This window comes from Homo sapiens, chromosome 2, assembly GCF_000001405.40.
Source record: "Homo sapiens chromosome 2, GRCh38.p14 Primary Assembly".
Classification (NCBI taxonomy): domain Eukaryota; kingdom Metazoa; phylum Chordata; class Mammalia; order Primates; family Hominidae; genus Homo; species Homo sapiens.
The window spans coordinates 5,908,460-5,935,940 of NC_000002.12; the positions used below are offsets into that span (position 1 = coordinate 5,908,460).

At 40.8% G+C, this 27,481-nt stretch overlaps 1 long non-coding RNA gene across 1 annotated transcript in view; it reads left to right on the top strand.

Annotated features, from left to right (window-relative positions):
- Positions 1–24,227: 24,227 nt before the first annotated feature.
- SILC1 (sciatic injury induced lincRNA upregulator of SOX11) overlaps positions 24,228–27,481 on the top strand; it is a 47,532-nt gene continuing 44,278 nt past the window's right edge. The window contains exon 1 of the long non-coding RNA NR_026832.1: positions 24,228–24,462. This is a non-coding gene — a long non-coding RNA (sciatic injury induced lincRNA upregulator of SOX11). The remainder of the gene's footprint in view (positions 24,463–27,481) is intronic.

Genomic DNA, 27,481 nt, shown 5'->3' on the forward strand with positions numbered 1-27,481 from the left:
TGGCAATCTCTAAGGTTTCTTGATGACCTTCAATCTATGATTTAGGGCCGAGCTGGTTCACCTCATGCAGACATCACTTTGGAAAAGATTATCCTCATTATGCTGCCTCATCTGAGCCCAAGATAATAAATAACTGCAATTATCAATTAGGCTTACCTGTTTCAGCTTTCTTTCTCAACAATCTTGAAGAAAATCCTTTAAGATTGTGACTTTATAAACACATAAGATAATTAATTGAGAAGACTCAAACACATATTCACTCAAGAAGACGTCTCCACAAGGAAGGGCAGAGCTGAGTGAGAAACAAGGACCCACAACTAGAGTTGAGTGGACCTCAGGGAGAAGAGGGTGGAGGGGACGTTGACAAGGATGCCCAAGGGGAAGCCAGACTCGAGAGAGACCATTCAGGTGCTGGCTGGCCCGAGAAGGGAAGACCTAGGAGGCGAAAATCCACAGGGGCTGGGAAGGGAAGTTCCAAAGTGCCCCAAAAGGACCCAAGGGAACTAGCGTGGCCGCCTTGTGGCTAATGGGTTTGTATTCATCACTTTCCATGGCATTTTTCCTCTATGTCCCACCCTTTAAGTTTAAGGAAAACTTGAAGGTTTCTCCCAAGTTACATATAACAGTTTGGAGACAAACCGACTCACTAGAGGCTCAGACTGGCCGATATCAAGGCCCTTTGTGGAATAATTCCAAGAAATGCATTAACTATCATATATTATGAGATATCTGCATAGTTCTGTGGCAAAATAAAATTGCCATATGAATCTGTGAATGTAAAAGTGTGTTGCCTGGTGTAATTGAGACACAAACAGAGACTTATATGTGGCGAGTTCCTCTGACTGCTTCTTCTCTCACAAGACAGCTCACAGATTCAGCCTTTCATTCACACATGTGAGATAAAATACTACCCAAAGGGATAAGTTCAGGTTTTTGAGCTTAGGGCATTTTTCAGGAAAAATGAGGATAATGGAACACACACATACCTATGCAGAGCCAGCTTCATAGGCATGCAAACTGTGCAGCCCCACACAGCACCACGCAGCCACATGCTCAGCAGAGTGTTTAAGGTACTATTGTCTCCATCCTGAAATTCTTAGTAATTTTTGAACAAAAGGCTTAATACTTTTATTTTATACGGGTTCCCACAAAGTATGTGTTTGGTCTTATGTGCATATATGGATAGATAGCAAATAGATGATAGAGACAGATAAACAGATAAATAGATATGATAGTGATGACTATGATAATAGATCAAGATTTGAATAAAGAAAGCAAGCTGTGGGGATGAGAAAGAAACTTTCTACCATACTATTTTTCTTCAAATCACTTATCTTTTGCCTGATTCACATCTTATCTGGTGAGAAAATTTCAATTTGATTATTAATAGAGAATTTAAATTCTCTGAAAGACCACTGTTTATGAGTTGCACTAAAATCAGTAACCTACTTCATTAAACGGAGTTAATAATGTTATTTTCGTGGGTACTTCAATACAGAGTAGAAAGCCACTGTTTCCAGGAAAGGTAGTGTATTTGTCAATAATCTTCTTTCCACTTTCTTCATCGTACCTTAATGCCCAAGAATCAGCTAATCTCAGTGAAAAAAAAAATATATACGCCTCATGCGCTGCCACCTCAAACATCACCTAGAGTCAAATTGTTTCAAAACATGAGTTCCACTGGCTTCCAGCCCAAGTCGCAGTGACTGCACTTCATGCTGCTGAAACTGCAAACAGTTCAATCTGAAGGATTCCATCGCAGGAGAACTGGATGTGCAACTAGATGACACTATAGATAAGTGGATTAATCCAGAAACTTCTAATGCTTTCTAATTCCATTCAATGGGGAAAGATGGTCACAGTGACAAGATGAGTATATTCTTAAAAAAAAATTGTTAGAAATCTTCTAACGCAGTGTTAATCTCCTTTGTATTGCCATTTTGATGATTACATAGTAGTGGTTTTCTGTATTTCCATCTTTTAAAAACATTATTATTACTCTTTTATTTTTATAGGATAGGGTCTTGCTATGTTGTTCTGGCTGGTCTCAAACTCCTAGGCTCAAGTGACCCTACTGTCTCAGCCTCCCAAGTGGCTGATATTATAGGCTTGAGCCACTCTACCTGGGTCTTTTTTTCCCCTTTAAGTTATTCTACATTTGAACTTACTTTAAAATTATGTTTTCTTTCTAAATTAGAAAAATCACTGATTCTCAAACTATTAAAACTAGAAGAACTATTTGGAATTATTTAGCTCATTGTTTTACAATTTTAAAGTATTTTCTTACGGTCTTCATATATTTTTTCCATACCTTGATTCCCTAAATACAGTATAATGATTTCTATTTTTTAAAATCAGTTCATTTTGTATGTTAAAGAAATTTACTCTCATCTTACACAATAGTATCCATTAAATCCTGGATTTAATAAGCTAGTTTTAAACTTTCAAAACACACACACAAACACACAATTTTTTCCGTTAAATTTGTCTATGACCACCTGAAAATAGTTTATGTATCTCTCTAATAAACATACTACAATTTGAGATATGGAAATACAATCTAAACTTTTTGTGGTACAGACTAGCCAATTAAGGCTTAGTGAGCATATTAAAGAAAAAAAATATCCCATGGCCCAGTGGAAAATCTTAGGCTTAAAACATTTTTAATTATAATCCTTACCCTGCCATTTCCTACCTCTACCTCTTTGACTAAGTTACCTAAAAATCTGTGAGCCTCAGTTTTCTTATACATAGGAATGACATTTAAGCAACAACCTAGCCCATACAACACTCCTGAGGACTAAATAATCCCAAGAAGGAGGGGTTATAATGGGTTTGTGATGGTGACAGATGACATAGATCATTGTAAAGATTGTGGATTTTATTCTGAGATAGAAAGCCATTCCTCAAGGTCACAAGGGCAGTTATTGACAGATGACAAACAAAACCAAATTTCCCTACTTCTCAGTTGAATGACCTGGGTGCAAAATGTACTAAGTTAGTTAGACATTAAATAAACTAGTGTCATTTATCCGTCTTCAATGAACTGAGTGTTTATAAGACTTTATCTAGCCAATAATGTTCACAGAGCACAGATAACTCTCTTTCCTAATGAAAATACATAGTGAGTGTATTATTGTATGAGGATCAATGGTTCCCTAATTTTTTTCTGACATGGTTGCTTCATTGCAATTTATCTCTGCAGCAAAAGGTAGAATGATTGGTTCCTTTCTGATTTTTCCTTTCAATCTAACATATGGTTCTGTTTAAATGTGTCCATGTTTGCAACTTACAGTTGACGTTTTTGGCACTCAGAATAGTATCTTGCAATTATACTTAGTTTAGAAAGAAGGGTTTGCTTTAACAGCAGAATGCATGAAATAAAAAAGTTCAAGTCAAATTTATTGGCTGCTGAGAGCCCTCCAGAATGTAGACGTCTGGTCTGGGGAAACTCAATGGATTTCTGTTCTTGGTACACGCACCCACTTATGTGTTCATGTCCCACCCCCCATCCTCACAGCCATTACATGAAAGCATCTGAGTGTTGTACAAGGTTAAAGCTTTTTGTGTTAATCTATCCCATATGGAGCAGGTATTAAACAGACAGCAAATTCAGTCAAAGCCTGGGGCAAGCATGTATTTGTAACTAGGGACACTGTCAAGGGACTTTTGTAGCAAAGAATACTGGGGGGGAAACAGAGAAAAGAGCATATGGAAAGTAGAAAAGTACCTCCCAGGCTAGACTCAGCCTGCAAATAATTGTATATGTGAAGACTCTAAACTTCTTACTATGGTCATAGCTGACATTTACAAACACTTGAGGAAGGGGTGCTCCTCCTGCTTCACCATGCCCATGAGACACAGAGTTACCCCATTTCTGAGCCTAACTGCAGAAATTAAACCCAGAAATAACAGTGATTCAGCACAACTCAACAGTGTCCCAGCACCAGATCCTGGACACACGGAAATTAGTAAAACAAAGGAGCTCTGCAAAAGTAATAGAAAGGCACATGTCAAGCTCTTCGCCATTTAAGTGAAAAGATTTTATGTTTTAAGTACTGAATTTTGAGCAAATGAGAGACTGACTGAGAATTCTTGGTGGTTAGAATATCTATATCAAAATCAACATGTGACCAGGCCAGTTCATGACGTATATCAGGCAATGGAGATCTGGAATAGACTCAGAACAACAAAATGGTGGGAAGCCAACTAGAGGAGACGCTGGCACTGCTGACCCTGGTTCAAGGGCAGGTTGATTCCCCCAGGATGGAGGAACTGGAAGTCAGTACCAAAAGACAAGGTAGGCTTGTTTCTTTCTATATCTTTTTACAGACGTTTTTGCTTACTTATCAGATTTAAAGTGTTCTAAAACGTGGATACAGTTCTTCTGGGTGTTTTTATCCTCTGCTTGTGTGTACAAGATTCTTAAAGGACTCTTCTGGGTGACATAATCCTATCATCTATTCATGTAGATCTCTTGCATAGAATAAGCCCAAGCAAAGCCTGCAAAACCATTTATTAAGTGGAATGCATGGCCAGGGAGGTTTGAGAAGAGGGAGAGTTTGGGGTTAGATGATATCTAAAATCTCTTTCAGCTCTGAGTCTATTATTCTATGAGAGGTCTCTGAGCTCAAAAACCCTCGCAAACATCAGTGGCCCGGCTGGACCTCTACCCTGCTACCCAGATGGCGACCTAGTAGGAGACCACCTTCTGAGTCAGCCAGATCAACCTTCTTCTTGTTGACAAATACTGAGTAGCCACTCCATGCCAGGCACTGAAGATACAAAAGTGAGCAAAACCAACATAACCTTTGTGTTCTCATGGTGTTTCCATTGTAGAGGGGGATGCAGACATTGTTCAGTAATCACTGTAAGAGTGTGTATTAAAAGTGATATAAGGCCGGGCATGGTGGCTCACGCCTGTAATCCCAGCACTTTGGGAGGCCAAGGCGGGCAGATCATGAGGTCGGGAGATGGAGACCATCCTGGCCAAAATGGCGAAACCCTGTTTCTACTAAAAATATAAAAATTAGCTGGGTGTGGTGGCGCATGCCTGTAATCCCAGTTACTCAGGAGGCTGAGGCAGGAGAATTGCTTGAACGAGGGAGTCAGAGATTGCAGGGAGCCAAGATCGCGCCACTGCACTCCAGCCTGGTGACAGAGCGAGACTCCATCTCACAAAAAAAAAAAAAAAAAAAAAAAAAAAAAGTGATATAAAAGATCCAAATAAATCCTATGTGTCATATAATAAACTTGGCCTAGATTAGGCAATCAGGGAACGATGTCTAGGGGAAGTGATATTTGAGCCAAAATCTGAGGAACAGGAGTTAACTAAAGGAAGGAGGAACGTGAGTTTCCGGAGAGATGAAACAAACATATGCAGGGGAAGAACGTGACATCATAAAATCTAAAGGAAGGCCAGTAGGCTGGAGGAGAAATCCTGACGGGCAGAGGCAATGAAGTGTCTAAGATGCAATGTGGGAGCCAGGCTGGTCCACTTAGGGACTCAGGCCGGGAAAGAGATTCTGCCCCTGAATCTAAGTGATAATGAAGAGGCGCTGTAGGTTTTAAGTTGAAGGTTAACTTAGATTTGAATTTGAAAAGACCAATTTGGCATTCACTTTCCTAGATGCAACCAAACAGTTTTTGAATCAACTTTTAACTTACACTCCTTAGGTAGGCAATTTTCAAACAATCTTCAAGGCTTGGTGCTTATTTTGCATATAAATGGCTGGGCTAATTTGCGCTGCTTATAGCTTAGACCCAAAGGATGCTGGCCAACTAGGGTTTTCTGGCCTTTCTGTGCAAATGAGGCTCTTTCATTTCCTTGAAGAGTTGAGCTCATTGGGAAAAAGCCAGAAGCATCGACAACAGTCAAGGATGGTGTTTGGGGCAGGAGTTTAATTAACTAATAGGAAGATTGACAACAGATGTTGAGAACCTGCAACAGGGGGGACTTCAGATAAGGTACCAGAAATTCCACTTTCACCCTTGATAGAGCACTTAGCCACTTTGGGCTTCTGTTTCCTTGTTTATAAAATAGGATTCTTTCATTCATGCATTTGTTTTTTCTTGTTTTTAAATAATGCCCATTTACCAAATCTTGTGCTAAGCTCTGGAGATACACAAAATAAATAAAGTGTGGGGCCAGGCTTTAAGTCACGCACTGTCACTAGGGAAGAGAAGATCCAATCTTTAGTGAGCACTTACTGCATTCTGACAGTGTTTGGTACTTTCATATGCATTCCATTCTCTAATTCTTACAACAACCAGGGGAGATCATCAGCTTCTTAGCCGCACTCTTAGAAATAGGAAAACTAAGACTTAGAGAGAGGAAGTACCTAACCTAAGCTCAGGCAGATGGTAAATGGCAGAGCCAGCTTTCACACTCAAGGCTGTTTGATTCCAAAGCCCATGTTCTTTTCACTGTAACACACTGTAAGCAAGTCATTACAGAACCAAGTGATAAGTGTTTTAGAGGAGGTATGTACAAAGAATTATGGGAGCAGAGTGGGGCGAGACTAATAATAGCTTCCCTGATGTTTCATAGGGCCGTCTGGAGGATCACATGCACTAATGGACTTGAAAGTGCTTTGTAAACTAAAAAGTGCTATATAAATATAAGGGATTATTGTAACCCACATATCCGGATCTGCTATGTGAGGGTGCTGAGTAATTCTCAGTGTGAGAAATACATGCTTGGACTATGGCTATTTAATTCCTTCATTTCCAGGACTTTCTTGGCATTCACTAAACCACAGGGGTGGGTCTGGCAGCCAGCAATCTCACACATTCTAAATGGAAGCTGATGCCTGTCAGCTGTGTGGGGACATTCCTGGGTGCTGAGCGCTCAAATGGCACTCCAGGTTTTTATCTCTGAGCTGAAAGGGAAAGGATTGATTTAGCTTGGAGAGCTCCCGAGCAACTCTCCTCCCTCTCCTGCTGTCCAGAACCCAGCAGCCCCTAAGAAGGCCCTCCCAATGCCTCAACTCCCAATGATTTCCTGCTGGGACTGCCCACAGAAATAAGCTCCAGCAGGGGCCAAGCTGAGTCACCGTCTCCACCTTGCGGTGGGGCCCTGGGGAGAGGGATGGCTTGGAGACAGGGCCTGTTTATAATTACAGGGATTTTCCAGGCTACCCAGGATGGGGACAGGGTGGATTGTAAGCAGTTGTGCTCAGTAGCCAGGGAGTGACAATAGGGCTGTGTGACCCAACTTGGAGTCCACTAGGAGAAATGTGTGACCAGGCTAAGAACAGAGATCCTCCCACCGGCCAGTACTGTGGTTAGCATGGGCACTGCCTTTGTGAATATCTATCTATTCACATGGATGGGCATCCTTATTTTTTCTAAGTAGGAAGGCCTATCATCTTATTGTAGACTTAATTTTAAGGCCTCTCTAACTTACTAGGGCTCATGAAAACAGCTCATACTGCTGCCCCTGCTGGTCTCTCTGTCTCCTAAACATACAGGTTTGTATCATGAAGACTGGCAGCCCAAGGGTCAGGCCTGGCTCATGCAAGCTTTTCCCTCTCCAATGCCTCACTCCTCCAAGGCAAGTCACAGTAGGACAAGCACTGGGGCAGACTTGAGGACTGGAAGAGAGGCCGACTCGCCTCCTTGCTGTCTGTCCTCCTTCTCCTGCTCAGCCACACCCCTATCTCATATGCATGGGGTTTTCACCAGGCTCCCTTGTCCCACGAGTGTATTGACACAACCCTGCCTGTTCCTTATAGTCTGCAGAACAAGGATTAGCACCCTCGCCTCAAGGGGTCCCTCTGCTGGTGGAAATGACCCAGAAAGAGAAGGCATCAGAAGCCCAAGGAGAACCCTACCTTTTGGAGGAGCCATGGCTGCAATGAGGAGTTTGACAGTCCCACAAATATTAACCATGTCCCCACAGAAAGGAATCAGCAAAATCCGAGAAGCAGAAAGGCAGGAGAGATGAGAGCCAGGAGAGAATCATTCCTCATATTTCAAGAAAAGAGATAGCTTTAAGAAGAAGAGGTAGGCAGTGGTTAAATTTCGGATAACATTAAATAGGATGAGGCTCCACCGAAGTTAAACCACTGATGAGTTTTACAAGAATGATATCCAGAACCTGGTGGAGATTTCAACAAACTGAAGTGGGAAGGAAGCAGATATAGACTGCCTTCCCTAGAACTTTGGAGGTGATAAGAATAAAAGAGGAAAATCAGAGAGATCAAGGGTTCTTTTATTCATTCATTTTTAATATGGAATCTTTTCATCATATTTATTGATTGGCAGGTGGTGTAAAGAAAGAGATTTAAGGCATGTCGGAGATAGCATGTTTGGTTGGACTAGTGCAGTCTCAGTTCAGACCTGATGGCCCCCTATGCCTTCCCATCATAGCTTCCTTTTCCTCCGGTTTGGATGAATTATTACATGCTTAGAAGGTTAGAAAAATAAGAGAGATTGCATTCAGGACCTCGATGGAGGGGTGAGCCTTTGTCTAGTGGAAAGATTCTGTTTCCTCTGGAGAGGTAAACAAGGAGAAAAATACCAGTGAAGACATACAAATATTTTGAAATGGATGAGAGGGAAAGGAGGCCATTGATAGAGAATCATCAACTCATCATGCTGAGATGGTCTTTTGAGAGTGAGAAGGCAGGTCATTTTGCAGACTGAAAGACGGCAAGCAGGTGTGGGATAGATGAGAGGAAATATGCATATTGGTTAGCCCTCAGTTTATTTACCTGTAAGGTCCCTACATTAGCTGATACGGTTTAGCTCTGTGTCCCCACCCAAATCTCATCTTGAGTTGTAATTCCCATGTGTCAAGGAAGGGACCTGATTTGTGGTGACTGGATTATGGGGGCGGTTTCCCCCACGCTGTTCTTGTGATAGTGAGTGAGTCTCATGAGACCTGATGGTTTTAAAAATGGCAGTATTTCCTGTGCTCACACTTCACTTCTCTCACCTGCTGCCATGTAGGACATGCCTGCTTCTCCTTCTGTCATGATTATAAGCTTCCTGAGGCCTCCCCAGCCATGTGAAACTGTGAGTCAATTAAACCTCTTTTCTTTATAAATTACCCAGTCTTGGGTAGTGTCTTTATAGCAGTGTGAGAATGAACTAATATATTAGCCAAACTATTTATATTGCACAGCTTACCTATACATGCTACACTGGGTTCTTATATCCAATCCTAGAATGACCTGGTGTTTGGATTGCAAAGAGCCCTGTTTGGTAGGAATGTGCAGAGTCTGGGTGCCATCACTGCATGTTATTGTCTCTTGCCATATGCTACCTTTTACAAAGATAGCTGTCTCCTGCCATCAATAGGGCACATATGCTGACCACAATTTCCAGACTTTCTCAGCACTTATGTGTCATAGCTTCCTTGAGACATATAGCATGAGTTCGAGGCAGCTGGCTAGAAGCCACCCTAATGGCCCTCCTAGTTCAGTGTCACAGATTCTCATAAGGTGGGGCCGGGCAAAGGGAGAGGTGTTCTCATAGCAGGTTTCCAGAAGAGAAGCAGACATCAAGATGGATAATTCCCTAGGAGGATGATTATCTAGGATCCAGGACCGATTTTGATAAGAACACTGAGCTTATGTAGTTTTAAATTGCCCTAATTTCATACTCTTTTCGTTAGCTCTGAGGTAGTCTTGAAAACAAGCAATCTTGAAACCTGAATCATTTCAGCATGGTGAGAAAGTATAGTAGCCATGAAAAATAGCAGCCCAAGAGAACCAATGAAGATGGGGATAGAATGAATTTGAAGCTTCTCAAAGCCCATCTCCAAGGAACTGTAAAAATCTGGCCTATTTGGCAGCAACCTAAAGGGCCCCACTCCCAAGGCTTGTCTTTATTTGACCTTACTCAGAGCTCACTTTTTGCAAACAGCTTTATTTCCTGGGCATTTGTTGAAAACAATCAGCAGCAATTGTTCACTGACTGAGGCAATAGACTTGAGGCTAATAAGACAGTGATCAAAAAATTAAAAAGGAAAACTGAGGAAACCATAGGGAATATGCAAATCTTCTATATTCATGGCAATCTTAAAGGCTACCACACTAGCTGGACTGTGCACATGCCCAGAACAGATCCAAGAAGACCTTGATCTCTTACCTCAAACTGACTGTGTCAGCAGGCAGAGAAGGCTAAGGCACGATTTTAAAGTATCTGCTGGGGCATTGAAAGCATACCTCAGTATACATAGAGCCCTTTCACAAAAGCTGGGAGATGTATTGGTTCAAGGCCTTTAAAGAAATCTCTGTTAATTGAGAATTGACAGAACTAGTTTAAAACATTACTAATTAAATAGCCACAATATCAACCAAAGGCAACAATAACAAACCATGTAGGAGTGTATTTGTAGTTTTCAATGAAAATTGTGAAACATGCAAAAAACCATACACAAAAAAGTATGGTACGTAAATAGAGGAAAAACAGTTAATGAAAACTTTCTTTGAGGAAGTCTAGATGTTGGAATTAACAGACAAAACCTTTAAATTAGCTATCATAAAAATGTTCCAAAAGCTAAAGGAAACTGTATCTAAAGAATTAAAAGAAAGTTAAAAAAAAGGATGATGTCTCCTCAGATAAAGAATATCAATAAAGAGATAGAAATCACAAAAAAGAACCAAATAGAAAATATGGAAAGGAAATGAAATACCTAAAAAGAAAATTACTAGAGGGGCTGAATGGCACTTTGGAAGTGGTAGAAAAATAGAATCATCAAAGAAGTGTGAGTTGAGATTTTGTAATATGAGACCCAGAAAGAGAAAGGAAAATAAAGTAATAAAAAAACTGATGTTCAGAGCTGTGAGATACAATCAATCACATCAAAATATATATGATGAAAGTACCAGAAAAAGAGAAGTTCAGAAATAATATTCAAAGATATAATGGCTGAAAATTGTTTTCAATTTCATGACAAAGAGTAATCTGTACATCTGAGAAGCACAACAAACTGAAAGTAGAGTAAGGGAAAAAAAGCTGACTGTTAGGCACATCAAATCAAACTATCCAGCCAAACACAAAGAGATAGTCTTATAAGCAGCAAGAGGCGTGACTCATTGTGTACAAGAGATCCTCAATAAGACTAACAGATGACTTCTCATCAGAAACCATGGAGCCCAGCAAGCAGTAAAGTGGAATTTCTAGGACAATAATAATGCAAAGAAGGGAGAAGAAATGGAGCTATATTGGAGCAATGATTTTGTGTACCAGTGAATTGTTTGTATTAATATGAACTAGACAGTTTTAACTGAAAATGTTAATTATAATCTCCAGGACAATTACTGGGAAAACACACACACACAAACACACACACAAATATAGTAAATGAAATAAAAAAGGAAATTAAATGGTACACTAGAGAATATCTTTTAAACAAAAAAGAAGTCAGTAATGGAGGAATGCAGAAGCAAATAACAAAGGGGCAGACACAAATCTTACCTTATCAGTAATTACATTAAATGTAAAATTACTAAACATGACAATCATGTTTAGTAGCAGCAATTGATGGAATGGGTAAAAAAAAATCACCTGCCTTTAGTGTATCTACAAAAGATGCATTTACACTCAAAGATACAAATAGTATCTTATAATAGTTAGAAAGTAAATGGATGGAAAAAGTTATCTTATTCAAATAATAACCAAAGGGGATCTAGAGAGCCTACATTAATATTAGACAATATTACTCTAAGCAAATTTTTTTGGAGGAGACAAAGAAGAACAGTTTATAATGATAAGAGGTTTAATTCATCAGAATAACATTGCAAGTGTAAACGTATGCAACTAGCATGTGAACCCCAAAATGCATGCAGCAAAACTGACTAAACTGAAGGAAGAAATAGAAACATCAACAATGATAGTTAGAAACGTTAATACCCCATTTTCAATAATAAATAAATAAAACTAAGCAGGAGATCAACAAGGAAGTAGAAGACTCTCGAAGAACACTATACACACTAGACCTAAGAGATACCTACCGAGCATTCCACAAAACACAACAGAATATAATCTTCTCAAATGCACATGGAACATTTTCCAGACTAGATCTCAGGCCCAACAACAAGGCGCGATACATTTAAAATAACTGAAATTGTGCAAAGTACATTTCCTGACCACAATGGAATGAAAGTTAAAAAAAAATTAAAAAACAGAATAATTCTATTAACATGAAGTGTCCAGGATAGGCAGATCTATAGACACAGAAAGAACTGTAATGGTTGCAACAATTTGTAGGGAGGGAAAAATTTCTAATGAGTTTCTTTTTGGGACATTGATATTATTCTGGAATTAATGTCACTCAAATTTGTGAATGTACCAAAAACTATTGAATTGTACACTTTAAAGGGAAATAATTTTTATGATATGTGTATTCTATTCTCTATAAATATTATGAAAAATAAAAAAGATTTGAGAAACTATAAATATTCCTTGAGCTAAACTGAAGGTCAAAAGTGCATGACTGTTGCGAGGACAAGGTGGTACATCTGACAGTGAAATTCCCTCCTAAGCTGATCAGCCAGAAATCGTTGATATTATCCTCAAGCCTCAGACCACAAGCCAGTGAAATTTTACATTGTGTACTTATTCTTCAGAAGTAATTCTGTAACCTCCTTTGTATGCTAGTCATGGTCCTGATGGATGCACTTGTTAATTTTCTCTCACCTGATTCGCACCTATCATGTTCCAGATATTTTGGCGGGGTCGGGGGTGGGGGTTCTTAGGAAGCATTTGACAGCCTGAAAATGAGATCTGTTTATATTCTAATCTTTTCTAATCTTTTTTTCTTCTTTGTCTTCTTTTTCACTTAGCTCACTAAATGGCTCAATCCAGAGAAGGTCTAGGTTCCATTATCTTATCATTTCTGAACGTTGATATATTATCTCAATCTTGGCCACCAAGGCTAAAAATGAACTGTGTTTTTCAAAGCAGCGCTTCCATAGTCTACATAAGGGGAGTGGATATTAACAAGTCCTTTGGACCTTCAGAGTTCTCTGGCACTGCGCCAAGACGTTTCCAGCACTCATTTTCCTGAGCCCTGAGGCCTGGGTGAGACACATCCCATCCTGGTTAATTTCAGAGACGAAGCCATTACTGAGTGGTTCTAGGCATAGTGTTCATTTTTAAACTTTTAATTCTTACATCATTTGTTAAGTAATTGGGCTCAACTGTGTGCTATTGGCATATTGTATTAATGAATTGCACATGTAGCTTTAATTTCTGCTTTTTAGGTTTCAGTTATTCTTTTTGTAACTCCTCTAGAGAAACACGTGTCTTTGTATATTTTTGGTCCTGTTTAATTGTGAAAACTTTCCTCTTGGCTGTTTTGTTACTAACAGATAATCACCTTCACAGTCCCGCCTTTTTTTTTCTGCGGATGACAGCGGAACAAGTTTGTGTGCGGCTGTATATCAGCCCTGGATTTGGGGTAGACACTGCACAGACCTGGACTGAAATCCAGTTTCCGCCACGTTCTTTGTAACTTGAGAAAATTTCTGAAAATCTTAGCATCAATTTGTTGTTATTGTTGCTGTTTGTAAAATGAGGGTAAGAGTATTTGCCCCACAGGACTATTGAGAAAATTTGCTTTTCTTCCTCTTTATTATACAACATTCAGGATTTTTTTCCCCACAAAATAACAGATAAGATGTCAGTATTCGAGTCTTAATAGATAACTATTCTAGGTGGCATTCCTCTTCCTGGCTGCACGCCTGGTCATGAAATGGTGACGAAATCTCCACTACCCTAACCATCGCTCCACTCAGCTCCCTGCCAGGAACCTGATTGAGACTACCTTGCTGGCACATGATTTCATTCACTAAGCATTTATTGAGCACTTACTATATACTGGTTACTCTACTTGTTAGGCAAAGACAAATAACACAGGATGTCTGCTGCAGGGAAGTCATCAAACAAAATTATTTTGGAGGGAGAAAGGTATAATTGCTGCACAACATTTAAGCATGTGATTTTTTCCCCCCGAATCTCATTCTATTTAGCTATGTATGATCTATTTTAAATCAGAATGAGAGGCATAAAACCTGGAGTGAGTTATAGACACTATTGGGTTTGTTCCTCTCGCCGGGTTGTTTCATAATTAATGCTTCTAGGAGGACTCTTATTTGCTATTGGCCACCATCTTTTTCTTTAATATCAGCATCTTCAATCCTGCCACGGTATTTAAATAAAAAGTACAAATATAGTTTTAATGTCATTCTCCTTGAAAGACCTTTTTTTTGTTTTGTTTTTTTCTTTTTTCTGTGACTCCATGTATCTGTCAACCAAGAAAAGGCAAAAGATCAGATGCCAAAGCAGTAAGACAAGGCCTTTACTGGGAACTTAGGAATTGCCATTTGGGAGACACAGATTTCACTATTAATAGAAGACAAATTATGTTCCAAAGAGAAGGAGAGAGTGGGGATTTTTAAAATGATGCCGAGGGCGCTTACACAAGTTGTATTGAAATATAATAACTACCCTGGTGGAGGTGGCTGGTTTAGTACAGGAGTCCGTAGTTCATTGGTTGTTGCTGTTTAGGAGTCGCAGCTCTGGTGAAAATCAGATGTTTTCCAGGATGCTGTGGTTCTGACACTCTGGTCCGGCTCAAAGTTTCAAGGCAAATTCCCATTTTCGTGATTTTTGTTGTTGTTTTTGCAAGGTTGCTGTCCGTGCAGGTAGTCCTTCTTAGAGCAGCTTCCCAACACCATTTCGCATGCCGCATCTCACATATCCACCATATCCACCATCTTTACGGCTTCCCAACACCACTTCGCATGCCGCATCTCACATATCCACCATATCCACCATCTTTACGGCTTCCCAACACCACTTCGCATGCCGCATCTCACATATCCACCATATCCACCATCTTTACGGCTTCCCAACACCATTTCGCATGCCACGTCTCACATATCCACCATCTTTTCTTTGGTAACTTTCTTTGGGTTATGCCACTGGGTCTCCCCTCCCCAGCCTGCCCCCAACCACAGCTGTTGTCCACACTTCTCATCTATGCATTTTAATTCCCACCTATTAAATGAGAATGGTCTCTTTAGTCTTTTTCCTCAGCCTTCTTTCTTTTTATCTAATTCTACTGGTGACTGGATATTTTCAACTCCTGAAACTAAACATGATTTTGCTGATTTGTTTTTAGAGCTTTTGTGATAAGAGTTAGAAAAATGGAGAGAGTGACCACAGAAGAACCTTGGGTTACAGACAAAGAAGGTCCATGGAACGGGGTGCTGGGGAGGTTTTGCTGTTAAAAGCAAAGGCAAAAAGTGTAATTACTTTTGCAGTAACCTAATCATAACATGAGTTGTGCCGCCATTGTTCAGGAATATGAGAGCCCTCAGAGTGAACTCCATGGGTCCACAAAATCAAAATGGTGATAAACATTGCAATCTCCTGCACACAGTTGTTACGATGACCTCCATATGTTAGTAAAGGCTGGCTCAAAAACAAATACAAAACTGGGAAAAAAATTCTATTGTCAATCAACATGTGTTTCAGCAAAAATGCAGTGAGAGAGTTTCAATTTTTCAGAGGACTCCTGTGTAGTAGAATACATGCCAGCACCTGAATGTCTTTATTCTCCACCAGTCAGTTTGTTGAGATAAGTTATCTGAACAGAATATGAAAGGTTTCTGTAGAAAGAAGCTGCCTGAGTGTCATTGCGTTGGCAGTGACTACAAACTGCCTTATTTTAAAAGTGGAACATGCACATCATAGCTCGTGTCCACAAAAGCTCGGGCCATGTGCTATGTTAAGAAAATCACTCAGAGATCTTTCATTTGTACTTTTGCAAGGGCTATAGGGTTGTAGACAAAAGGTTATTTTCATGTCTGTCTTCATCATTATTATTATAAGAAATTAATATCATCCACCTTATCTAGGAATCCTTCAAAGGTCTTGACCCGACCTAAACCGTGAACCCAAAACTAAACTGATCCACATTAATTTTCAAAACCATCAGCTGAAACTGAAACCACATAGTAATTATAGCTGAAATGTATACTGAAACAACGTCTTCTGAAAACCTGACTTGGCTTGATATATTTCGAAATGTAATTAAGGTATGTAAAAATGTCTCTGACCGACAGGTCATTGGAGCTTTATTTGTAATATGAGTCAAAGCACATGCAGTGTGACCAAAATAATTAAAGAAGAGAAAAACCACCCTAGACCTTAAAATGATGGCGCTATCAATTTTCAGACTGTTTTGCTGGCACGGAGAGGGGAGGGGAGCGTGTCTTAGGCCTAGGCGATCTGCATTTGATCTTCAGGGTGGGTAAGGGGTGCATCCAAGAGCCAGGCCTTTGAGGGGTCAGCCTGAGAAACATGGAGAGCTGAAGAGAGCAAAACTGAGCAGGGACCTGGGCTGGGGAAGGAGAGAACTATGACCATAGTGAGGAAGGTCTCCTGGGGCACTCAGCAAACAGATTTAAACATTTTCTAAAACTGAAGAAAATAGCTATACCAGATCCTCAGTGATCTCTTGTGCTGACTAGAAAAAACTCAAAATTGAACTAAAAACTTTATTTGAATCACTCCCCTTTGGAACACTGCTTTTAGTTTAGAGTTTAAACTGGTCCATTGCTCAGGTTGGAGGTCTGGGAAGGACAAAAGGCTGCCTCCTGTTTTTTGTACCTGTATCCAGGGGCTCCCCACACTCCACCTTCAGCATCTGTGTGTCCATCTGTTCCGCTCAGTGGACTGGGCAATTTAAATCTCTCTAGGCCTGACACAGAATAAATACTTGCAGGTGAGCATACCAGATCTGGAAATTCAAAATCAGAAGTGTTCCAGTGTCTAAAACTTCTTGACCACTAATGTGACACTGCAAGTCAAAAATTCCATGCATCACGGCTTAACGCCAACTTTGTTTCATGCACAAAATTATTTAAAATATTGCATAAAATTACCTCCAGGTTGAGGATATAAGGTGTATATGAAACATAAATAAATTTTATGTGAACTTGGGTCCCATCTTCAAGGTATCTCATTACATATATACAAATATTCAAAAATCCAAAAAAAGCCAAAACACTTCTGGTCCCAAGCATTTTGGATAAAGGATACTCAACTTTTAATAGTTATTAAATGACTACATGAATGCATCAATGAACGAAATCTTGTGAATTTTCCGAAAGGGAGAGTTACGTGGGGCTTGGCAGGAGTCTTTTTTATCCCATCGTGAGAGCTGGGCCCAGATAGACTGTCATCTAACCCTGCTTTAGTGATGATGGGTGTGGTGGGGGAAGGAGCCCATGGCTGTGGGCATGTGTGGACCACTGTCTCACTCCGGAGATAAATGATGGATGTTACCAGGGAGGCTCAGGGCCGGAAGCACACACACAGCCACTATCCCACAGAGTCTCCACCCAGTGGTGACAGAGATGGGATGAGAATCAATACAACACTTTTCTTTTTGTTTTTAGTACAGATTTTTAAATCCTAGAATAAAAGGCTAGAAATAAAAACAGAAAGAAATCACAATACAAGGCAAAACAACCAACCAACCAAACATCTTAAATCTGAGCTGGAACAAGGGTGGGTTGCAGCCAGTCAGTCTGGAGGTGTGTTCCTGGTGCCCATGGCACCTCACTCTGTCAAAGAGCTTGACACGCACAGCAGCTCAAGATGGGCATATGCTCTGCTATTCTGCAGAGGAGCAGCTGAGCCTTGCACAGAGGTGGAATTCACAGTCTTCACTTCACGTGAAGAATCTCTGAGCCTAGGAAAGATTTGAAATAACCTCTTTAAAGTTATAAGGAAACAATATAATTTTGACAGCTATTGTCTAAAACTGCAAAAGATGCTAATAATTTTCCAACATGTATTGTACATACAGACCCATAACCCACCCAGGTTATTTTGATATTAGTTTGTGCAGTTAAAAAAAAATGAAATGATTTGGATAATTGAAATTTGCAAGGACCATGGTAGATTAGTAAAAATGAATCACAATAGATTGCTTCAATTTCTTTTCATTTCTAATTCATAGCAGGAAATGAGAAAGCACATTAGGTCAATGGTTATGAACGAATTAAGAGGGAAACTAAAAGCAATTGCATTTTAAAATAGGTTCTGCAAAGAATATGGAATATCCAACGTATCTTTAAATTTACAGGCTTACAGCACTGGGTTTAAGCCGGATAACCCGGGCTTCTATCTTAGTTCTTGCACTTATTAGCCGTGTAACATTGAGCAATTTACTTAAACTCCTTGACTCTTGGTTTGCTCATCTATGGCATATATATAGTAATAAATACCTTACAGGTTCTTGTTAAAACGTTACTGCGTAGCTTTTCAGAATGTCTTGTGCAGTGCTGATCAGATGGTCTGTGTTTAGTATTTTTTATCTGTATCTGACTTCAGATTAGAGATGCCAGAAAGAAAAACATCTCACCCGACAAAGAAAATTAAAATCAGCTGGTTGGGACCTCACCCTCACATGCTAGGAATTCCTTGCTTTGCCACATTAATGTCTTCATTAAATATTCATGGGCATTGTTCATCTTTTCTGAATCTGCCTTGGAACCCTTGAGGAAAAGCATGTCCTGTGTCCCTCGGAAGGCTGCCCTGAGCCTGGATGCCAGTGGTGGCAATGGACACGCAGGCAATTACTGGATGAAAGATGAGGGTGGCTGGGTGTGAGCAGGTCACTTCCAGGGCAGCACTCAGCTTTCTGAGCCAAGATACCAATGCCGAGAGGGCTGTTGTTCTCTACCCAGCACCCAAATCTGCATTTTCCCTCCCCCTGTCTCCCAAAGGGAACACTGTGGCTTGCTTCTATTTTAGTAAAGGGTACATTTTGCCCCAGGGAGCCCCCATTTCTGAAAGCACGGGAAGTGGGATACTGGGGACTTTCCCTGCAGTCCACTCGGATGGGTCATTAGGAAGGATGAGAGTCCCATCTAGCACTGGGAATAGCAGCCACTCACAAAAACACCACACGGGCTTGCCCTGTCTTCACAAGCACAACCTCATCTATGAATAAACCATTTATGTCTGCAAAAGGGAAAGTCAGCAGACTGAAATGAAGGCCTTCATGATGATCCAGTTTTATTTAACGACGAGTAAATATATTGTTCTCTTTTTTTGTGATTTTCTGAATAAGAATTTTTCTTTTCTCTAGTTTATTTTATTATAAGAATACCATATGTAATACATATAATATGCAGCATATGTGCTAATTGACTTTGTTATCAGTAAGGCTTCTGGTCAAAATAGGCTACTAGGAATTAAGTTTTTTGGGGAGTCAAAAGTTATATGCAGATTTCTGGCTGTAAAAAGTTTCAGGGAGTTGGCACCCCTGACCCCTACATTGTTAGAGGGTCAATTATAAATGAAATATCCAGGCAAATTCATAGAGAAAGAAAAGAGATTATTCGTTAGCAGGGACTATTGGGGAGGGTGACTGCTTTATGGGTACAGGGATTTTTTTGAAGGTGATGGAAATGTTTTGGAACTCAATACTGCTGATGGTTGCCTGCACATCGTTCTGAGTGGATTGAATGCCACTGAATTGTACCCTGTTGAAATGATACATTTTATATTTTGTGTATTTTGTCATAATAGTAAAACTAGTTGTAAGGGCTTTCCATATTTGAATCTAGCTTTATTTTGTTAGTCAACAAACTAACCGTATTGATGTTAAATTAAGCTAACAAATTAACTTTCTTTATTTTGATTCTTCCATTCCAGTGCTGTCCTCCACGGTCTTAACAAACTGAAATGCTCACACTTCAAAGAATAGACATGTGACTTCTTATCTTCATTTCTGCCCTCCTCTGCCTGGCTAATACTCACTGGTGCACACATTCATATTCCAAGACTGGACTCATATCACCAACTCATGAAATCTTTTTTGAACTACTCAATATAGACTCTGTGCACCCACCACAGTTGGGCAACTTTTAATCCAATCCATTATATTGTTTAGGTACTAAACATGGGCTGCATAACAAACCATCCCATAACTCAGTGGCTTAAACCAATAATATTTCTTTTATTCACAAATCTGCAGTTGGGGCAGGGCTTGGTGAGGATAGCTCCTTTCTGCTCCAGTTAGCCCCAGACAGAGCAACTTGAAGGCTGGACTTGCGTAAAAGCTCATCCACTCACATGTCTGGTGGTTCATGGGGCCATTGGCTGTGGCCTCAGCTAGCACTGCCAGCTGGGATGCCTACACACAGCCTAGCCATGTGGCCTGAACTTTCTTACAGTATCCTGGCTGAGTTCCATGGTGAGCCCCAAAATAGAGAAAACCAAGCAGAGCCATATTAACTTTTATCTCTAACCTCAGGAGTCACATGGCTCCATTGCTGCCACATCCTATTAGAAGTGGGTCACTCAAGTCAACTTAAGAGATGAGGTGATACAGACCCTACTTTTTGTGGAAGGAGTGTCAGAGAACTGATGAGCATGTGTTAAAATCACCACAAATACTCCCTGATCTCAGACAGGTGGACCCACCCTGGACTTCCATGGTCCTTCTCGCTTCTACTAGAATGTTCTTCCTGTCTGTCTTCATTCCTAGACTGTTAGCTGCATGAGACTGTATCAACTTTGCTCAATATCATATCAGTAGGTAGCACTGTACCTAAATGTTTATTGCATAAATAAATATTTTCTTGCACCCAATTGTTTACTAGATTTTCTTTGCCTATGGTTGCCTGAAGACAGGAATTGTGTCTTATCAAGCTCCATATCCCCAGCACAGCCATGGTGGTGTCCAGCACAAAGCAGGAGCAGCAGTTATTTGTGAAATAAATTAATACATGCATAGATGGATGGCTGGATTTGTTAGCTAAGAATATATGTATATTTGTGTGTGTAGGTGGAAGACTTTTTATCAGATAACCCCAGCAAGGACAGAAATTTAATTTTCTTACTTCTCTACATTCAGGGCTAGGAAAGCACTTACAATGGAATAAGTAGTCAGTATGTTCATTCAATTTACTAATTAAATGAATAAATAAATGAATTTGTAGTTTGCTCTTTCCTACAGAACTAAATTGAGACATATTAGTTGTCAAATGACTGCAGCTTATATTATATTTAACGGATTCTATTGTAATTTGATATTTTTTTCAATGACCAAGTTGTTTAGTATTAATTCTGACCTAGTAATCATACTAATGTAGTGATTCTCAAGTGGCATTGATTTTGCCACCCGAGAGATGTTGAGCAACGGCTGGGGAGATTTCCGGTTGGCTCAACTAAGAGGATGTTACTGGCATCTAGTGGGTAGAAGCCAGGGATGCTGCTGAAATCGTACAATGCCCAGGTCAGTCCCCCTACAAAGAAGAATGACCCACTCACATATTTCAATATGTGCAAAGGTTAAGAAACACTGGATGAAAATTCAGGGAAACAAAGACGACTAAGACATTGCTTTTGTCACTAAGAGACTCACAAGAGAAATAGATAGGTAAATAAATATAACAGGGTGACTTAAATGTAATAATCTAAATGTGTAGAACAAATAGAGATGGAATAGGGTGGGAGTCATGAACTCACCTGGACTTCACATAAAAATTCTATAGAAAGGGGAACAGCTTGTGCAAAATCATATAAAAAAACGTAGACTGAAAAATATACATTTAATAATGCCGAGAACTAGTAGGAACTGATTAGAAGGAAATGGAGATCCCCTTTACCAGGGAATGAACACCTAAGATGGACATTAAGGCATCTTTTGATATCTGTAAAGGATGTTCAGCACCGCAGCCATCTTATTAAACATTTCAATGTAAATTTTTGATTAAATGAATGACAGATAGATTCATAGGGAAAAGGAGGCTTTACTTTATTTTAATATTAAAATAGAAAACCTCTAAGGCTGGCTGTGGATCCTGACTTTTCTTGGGAGGTGAGGACCCTTCTGTCATCTACATGTTCTCTTCCCCTCATCAATTTATTGCCTCTCAGCTTTAAATCCACCCTTCTCGCCCTGCTGTGAAATCTTGCAGCTGGGCCCTGTAAACATTTCCTCTCTGTCAGCTGGTAGAATGTTAGGCTTTCTCAGTAGAGATCAGTGGTATCATCCTGAAAGGGGCTGATGGAAGAGAGACATTTTCCTTCTAGGTTTCCGTCCTCAGTTGTTGTTGTTGCTACTATTATTACTATTCAGTGTGGGGTATATGTGATGTACATATCAATACGTATTTTGAAGACTCATACTTTAAAACTTTTTGTAATGTCCATGCACCAATAAAAAGTTGGGGCCAGGCACTATGGCTCACAGTTGTAATCCTAACACTTTGGGAGGTCAAAGTGGGAGAATCTCTTGAGCCCTGGAGTTTGAGACCAGCCTGGGTAATATAAGATCTTTTCTCTACAAAAGAAAAATTTAAAAGTTAGCCAGCTATGATGGTGTCTGTAATCCCAGCTACTTGGGAGGTTGAGGTGGGAAGATTGAGCTGGGAAGTTGAGGCTGCAGTGGGACATGGTTGCACCACACACTCCAGCTCAGCTAACAGAGTGAGACCCTGTCTCCAAAAAAAAAAAAAAAAAAAAAAGTTGTAGGTGAGAGATTGAAGACAAAAAGACCAATCTCTATTGCCCTCCTATAAAGTCTCTTTTCAGTTTCTACTTTCTGTTTGCATTCGCCTTTATTTTATTTAATTTTATTTTTAGTTCCACAGGTTTTTGGGAAACAGGTGGTGTTTGGTTACATGAGTAAGTTCTTCAGTGGTGATTTGTGAGATTTTGGTGCACCCACCACCTGAGCAGTATACATTTGAATCCCCCTTTAGCTTGGGCAATTGACATGATGAATTACTTTGAGTTAGACTTCCTGGTTCCTGGATTTAACACTAACCACATCTATAGCTTTGGGCAAAGTATGTACATTTTATGCATTGGAATCACCTTGTTTTATAATTGAGAGTATTTTAAATTGTTATTAAAAGGGAATACACTTTACATAGTGCCCTGAAACATGTAGATGATATAGAAAAAAATGTTTTAGAGAGTACTCTGGCATACAGTAAGTGTTCAATAAATTTTTTTTTCCCTAAGCCAAAAATCTGTCTTCTAACACAGAGATGTGGCCTTATCTTTGAAAGCATTAGCAGGACCCTGTTACATGAAGACTATGACTCCTACACAAATATAGTAAGTACTGCATATCCAGTACTGGCCAACTAGTAAGTTAGTAAGATAGTTGTGGTAGAATTAGGACCATTGAATAGAGTAATAATAACAGTTAACATTTATTGTGCAAAACCATAGATGAAGCAATGTTCCAGCTGGTTTTGCATAAATTAGCTCATTTAATTCTTAACAGCGACGCATCAGCTCATGTAACAGCAAATGTTCTCCCATCTTGTAATCGGGGATACTGAGGTGTCTACTCTGTAGAAAATTTGTCCGGGTCACAGAGCTAAGAAGGGGCAGTGAGGATTAGAAGCCTGTGAGTCTTCAGTGGTTCTAATGGCTGTATTATACTTCCTCTAAAAACCACAGGTATATGTGTTTTGGCTTAAAAATATATATTAGAATGGTGATGCTGGGAAGGACTTTGGCAATCAACCAACCTAACTGCTTGAAAGCCGGGGAGCTACTCACGTCCAGGCACCAAGTAACTTGCACAAATCTTTAAAGTTAATTTCGTGTTATTTCTGGAACTGGAACCCAGGTCTCCAGGTCTCCTTAGTCTCAGTTCTATGCTCTTATGTGTCTCTTGCATTCTTCCAACGACATGATTAATATTCCAATGTGCATTATTAATTTCCTACATGGTTACTTTTTTTTGTATCCATGTCTCCCCAGTCAACTATATCCTTTCCATATGAAGTCTTAAAGTCATATAAATTAAATGAGAACAATGTGTTATACAGGAATAAGGGAATAGTTGCTAGATTTTTTTTTTTTAAAATGATTTCAATCGATAGGTATTTACGGAAAAACACTAGACTCTTTATAAATATCTTTATGCTTAAATATATTTTAATTGGCAGCACTAATAAAAGAGAAGGACTTCAACAGAAGCCTTGGGATTAATAATTACTTTGCTAAAAATGATGAATTCTTGGCTGGCATGTTTACAGGGGTTGGGCTGTGAGTCCCTGAACGGCTGGAACCCTGGCAGAGAGGAGCCCGGAGTGTGGGAAGAGGGGCATCACAGAGAGATGCATCCTACAGAGACTGGAGGACTCCGAGCTTGGGGAAGAGACAGTTAAACCTTCCCCGTGAGAGCGAGTTATATCACGCAGCGCCAGTGCCAGGTCAGCAGTCTGGCTGGAGCTGGACCGGCTGGTGGCGCCAGGCAGTGCCAAGCACCCCTGGCAGCCCTGCAGAGGGTTCTCAAATCCAGATTTCATTCTGCAGTCCCGGCAGTGTTTTGACGACTGCCTCACTAAAGGAAGCTAAAAGCTGTGCTGATGCCTCCCAGACGAGCCTCGTTGGAAGCACAGAACCTTCACGGCTCGGAGCCGCTGACACCGTGACAAAGGGAGCCCTGCTCAGGTGAGACAAGGCTCGGGGGTTCAGATGCTGGTCGTCTGGTACAGGTCTCTGCCGTGTGCATGAGAACAAGTCCGTCTGCCAGGCTGGACGCTGCTATCAGACAGATTGATTTGCCGAGTGTCTTTCAGCATTTCCCTAATTCCTTTTTGAAAAGCAAGAGCTAGGCTGATCATGCACCTGGGTCATAAAGCCCACTCTAAAATCAGGGAGATGGCTTTAGAGAGGATCCAGCCAAGGAGAAAACTAGGTCTGACTCTCGGATGTGTCAGCAACTGCCCCGAGTCTGCTCAGTAGGTCCCCAGAGGTGATTCCTCTCCATAGTCTGTGAACTCATCATGGAATGCTGGCAATGGACTATTCCACGGGGTCTGGAGTGCTGAGTTCTAGTTCAGAACCTGTCCTAGCGGCACCAGGAAGCCCTGTGGTGTTGGGCAAATCACATAACCTCTTGGTGTTTCTGTTCTTTATTGAAAAAGATGGTTATGTATTTGCCATGACAGGTTCAAACTCCTTAGGGGTAAAATTGTGCCCTATTTACCTTTGTTTGCTGAGTCCTTGGCACAAGGCCTGGTGTTTGACACACCTAAAAATTACCCATGGACTCTGTGCTTTGGGACAGAAAAGGTGATGACAAGATGCAGGTGTAAACTTGGAAAGGCCATGAGATCTAGGTTATAGTCTCAGTGAAGTCAGCTACCCATTCAGAGCCCTGTAAAATGAATACAGCCATGTTTTGTGTTGTGTGATGACATCAGTGCAGATGTGAGCCAGACTTAGGCTCATGGTGGGCACTTCAGCAGGTGCTAGCCCTGGTGGGCTTAGCTTTGTGTATGTCAGACCCCAGTGACAGGTCTAAGGGTTGGAGAGGAGACCGGGAGTGATGTCAGGCTCTGGGATGAGGGCGTATTTGGAACAGTATGGCTGAAGCCCTGTCATGATGACCAAATTGTTCTGATGACTCTGAGCCATTCCCCAGTTGGAGTCAATCTCCAGGATGACTGATCCACTGGGCAGAGTCTGGTGTTAAGAGACAACACGGTGCTCGCAGTCAGGCAGATGTTCTTGTTTCAATACCAAACAGATACATCCAGAAGGCAAATAGAATGGTCTTAGCTTCCTGATTAAATCTCACTTGCCTCCCCCACTGCCTTGGGGGCCCTGTTCGAGCTTCCTCCTTTGCCTGACCGTGTTAATATTGGAGGACGTGATCTCCATTCTCTTGCTGCTATATTCCCTTCTGGCCTTATTGTGGGAGATGCCCTGCTTCATTGCTTCCGTGACAACTATTGCTTGTATTTTTCTGCTTGCTTCCCGATATTTCTCATCTTCATGCCTCTGCTTAAGCTGGGCACCCTCTCCAGTGACCTGAATGACTTGTATTCATTGTTTAAGGCTACGCTGCGCTCCCACTTCCTCCAAAACGCCTCCCCCTGATCTTTTAGGTGTTTCTCTCCTTGTCCTGAAAAACACCCAGCATTGTATCTATTACATAAGATTGTACTGCTATTATCTACACCCTGCCCCATTCATCTGTGCTCCTTGAAGGAAGGGACTGTGGTTTCACATCCTGATATATCCAGAGTCTAGTGCAATGCCTGGCTCACAGGATGGAGAACCTTGTCCAACTGTGGGGAGGAAGAAAGAATATCCAATTTCTGGGAAGATGACAATTTCTGGGGGCTTCCAAGAGTTTCATGGTCCTCAAGAAGACTGTGGCTCTGGTTGACAACAACAACCAGGAAACCAAAGTAGAAACCCAGAGCCCAGACACCAGCACTGGGGGTCTCAGGGAGGCTACAGCTCAAGGGCTGGGGGACATGGGTGCTCTGGGCTCACTGTAGGGAGAGAGATTCCCACAGTTGAAGGCACCCAGCTCCTCCAGGGCACCAGCCTTGGTTTGAGCTATGCTGGATGGGGCGGAGGCTGAACCTTGGTCTCACAATGGAATTAAGATTGAATGGTGGGGTGGACAGTGAGGTCAAACACTCAGTGAGGATCAGTTGCATTGTTAGACTATTTATTCCAGCATTGATTTGCTCCCAGATGACAATATGTTGTTTTAGGATTTGGGTAATTTGCACAAAGAGGTTTTTAAGGCCCTGACTTCGTCCTGGTGTAGACAGTGAGGAGATCTTCCTGGTGGAGCCTGGGTGCATGCATGCAGTGTTTCTAATTAGTCATGCAGCAGGACGAGGAGGACCACAGCCTCCATGGTTCTTCCTGTTGGATGTGACCATCCTTTGAGCAGAGATTGCTACAAAGGCAAAGCTGGAACAGCATGGATGCCTAACTGCGCCCATGAGGCAGAGTCTTTGAGTTGTGACCGACACATCTCACACTAGTTTAGGCAAGAGAGGAAATGTATCGGGTCAGGTGACCAGGAAGATTAAACACAACTTTGACCCAGCTGGACCCATGGGCTGAATAAAGTCAACAAATATAAGTATTGTTTTTTGTTCATTTTTTCTCTACTTCTCAAGTTTGCTTTTTTTCTGAATTTTCTTTCATACAAGCAAACACTCTCCATGGATTGTCAGAGAGAACTCTGACAGTTCTCATTAGTAACTCCAATGATAAAAGAGGACCCCTTTCCCTAGAGTTCTCGCAAAATCCTCAGATCCTTTGTTGGGCCTTGTTCGGCTCACAAACACATCCCAAATACAGCCCTGGGGTCTGGGGATGCAGTGTTCTGAGAGGCCCAGCGTGGGTCAGTCCCTTCCCTGGCCCTGCCCCTGCCCCATCCCCATATGAGAAGTGCATGCAATAAAGCTACAACTCAAGCTGGCAGGGCAAGAGGGGAGCTTAGAAATTATCTGGTTGACTTCCCTCATTTTAGGTTTATTAATTTGGAAAAGGAGTAATGCCATGAATATTTTATGTACTTACTGGTTACAATTTAGAGAATTAAAATGAAAATAAAAACCACGCATAATCCTCTAACGTTTAGATGTACTTCTGATCATTTGATATTTTCCCCAAATACTTTAAAAGTTATCTACATCATTTGAAATATATTAAT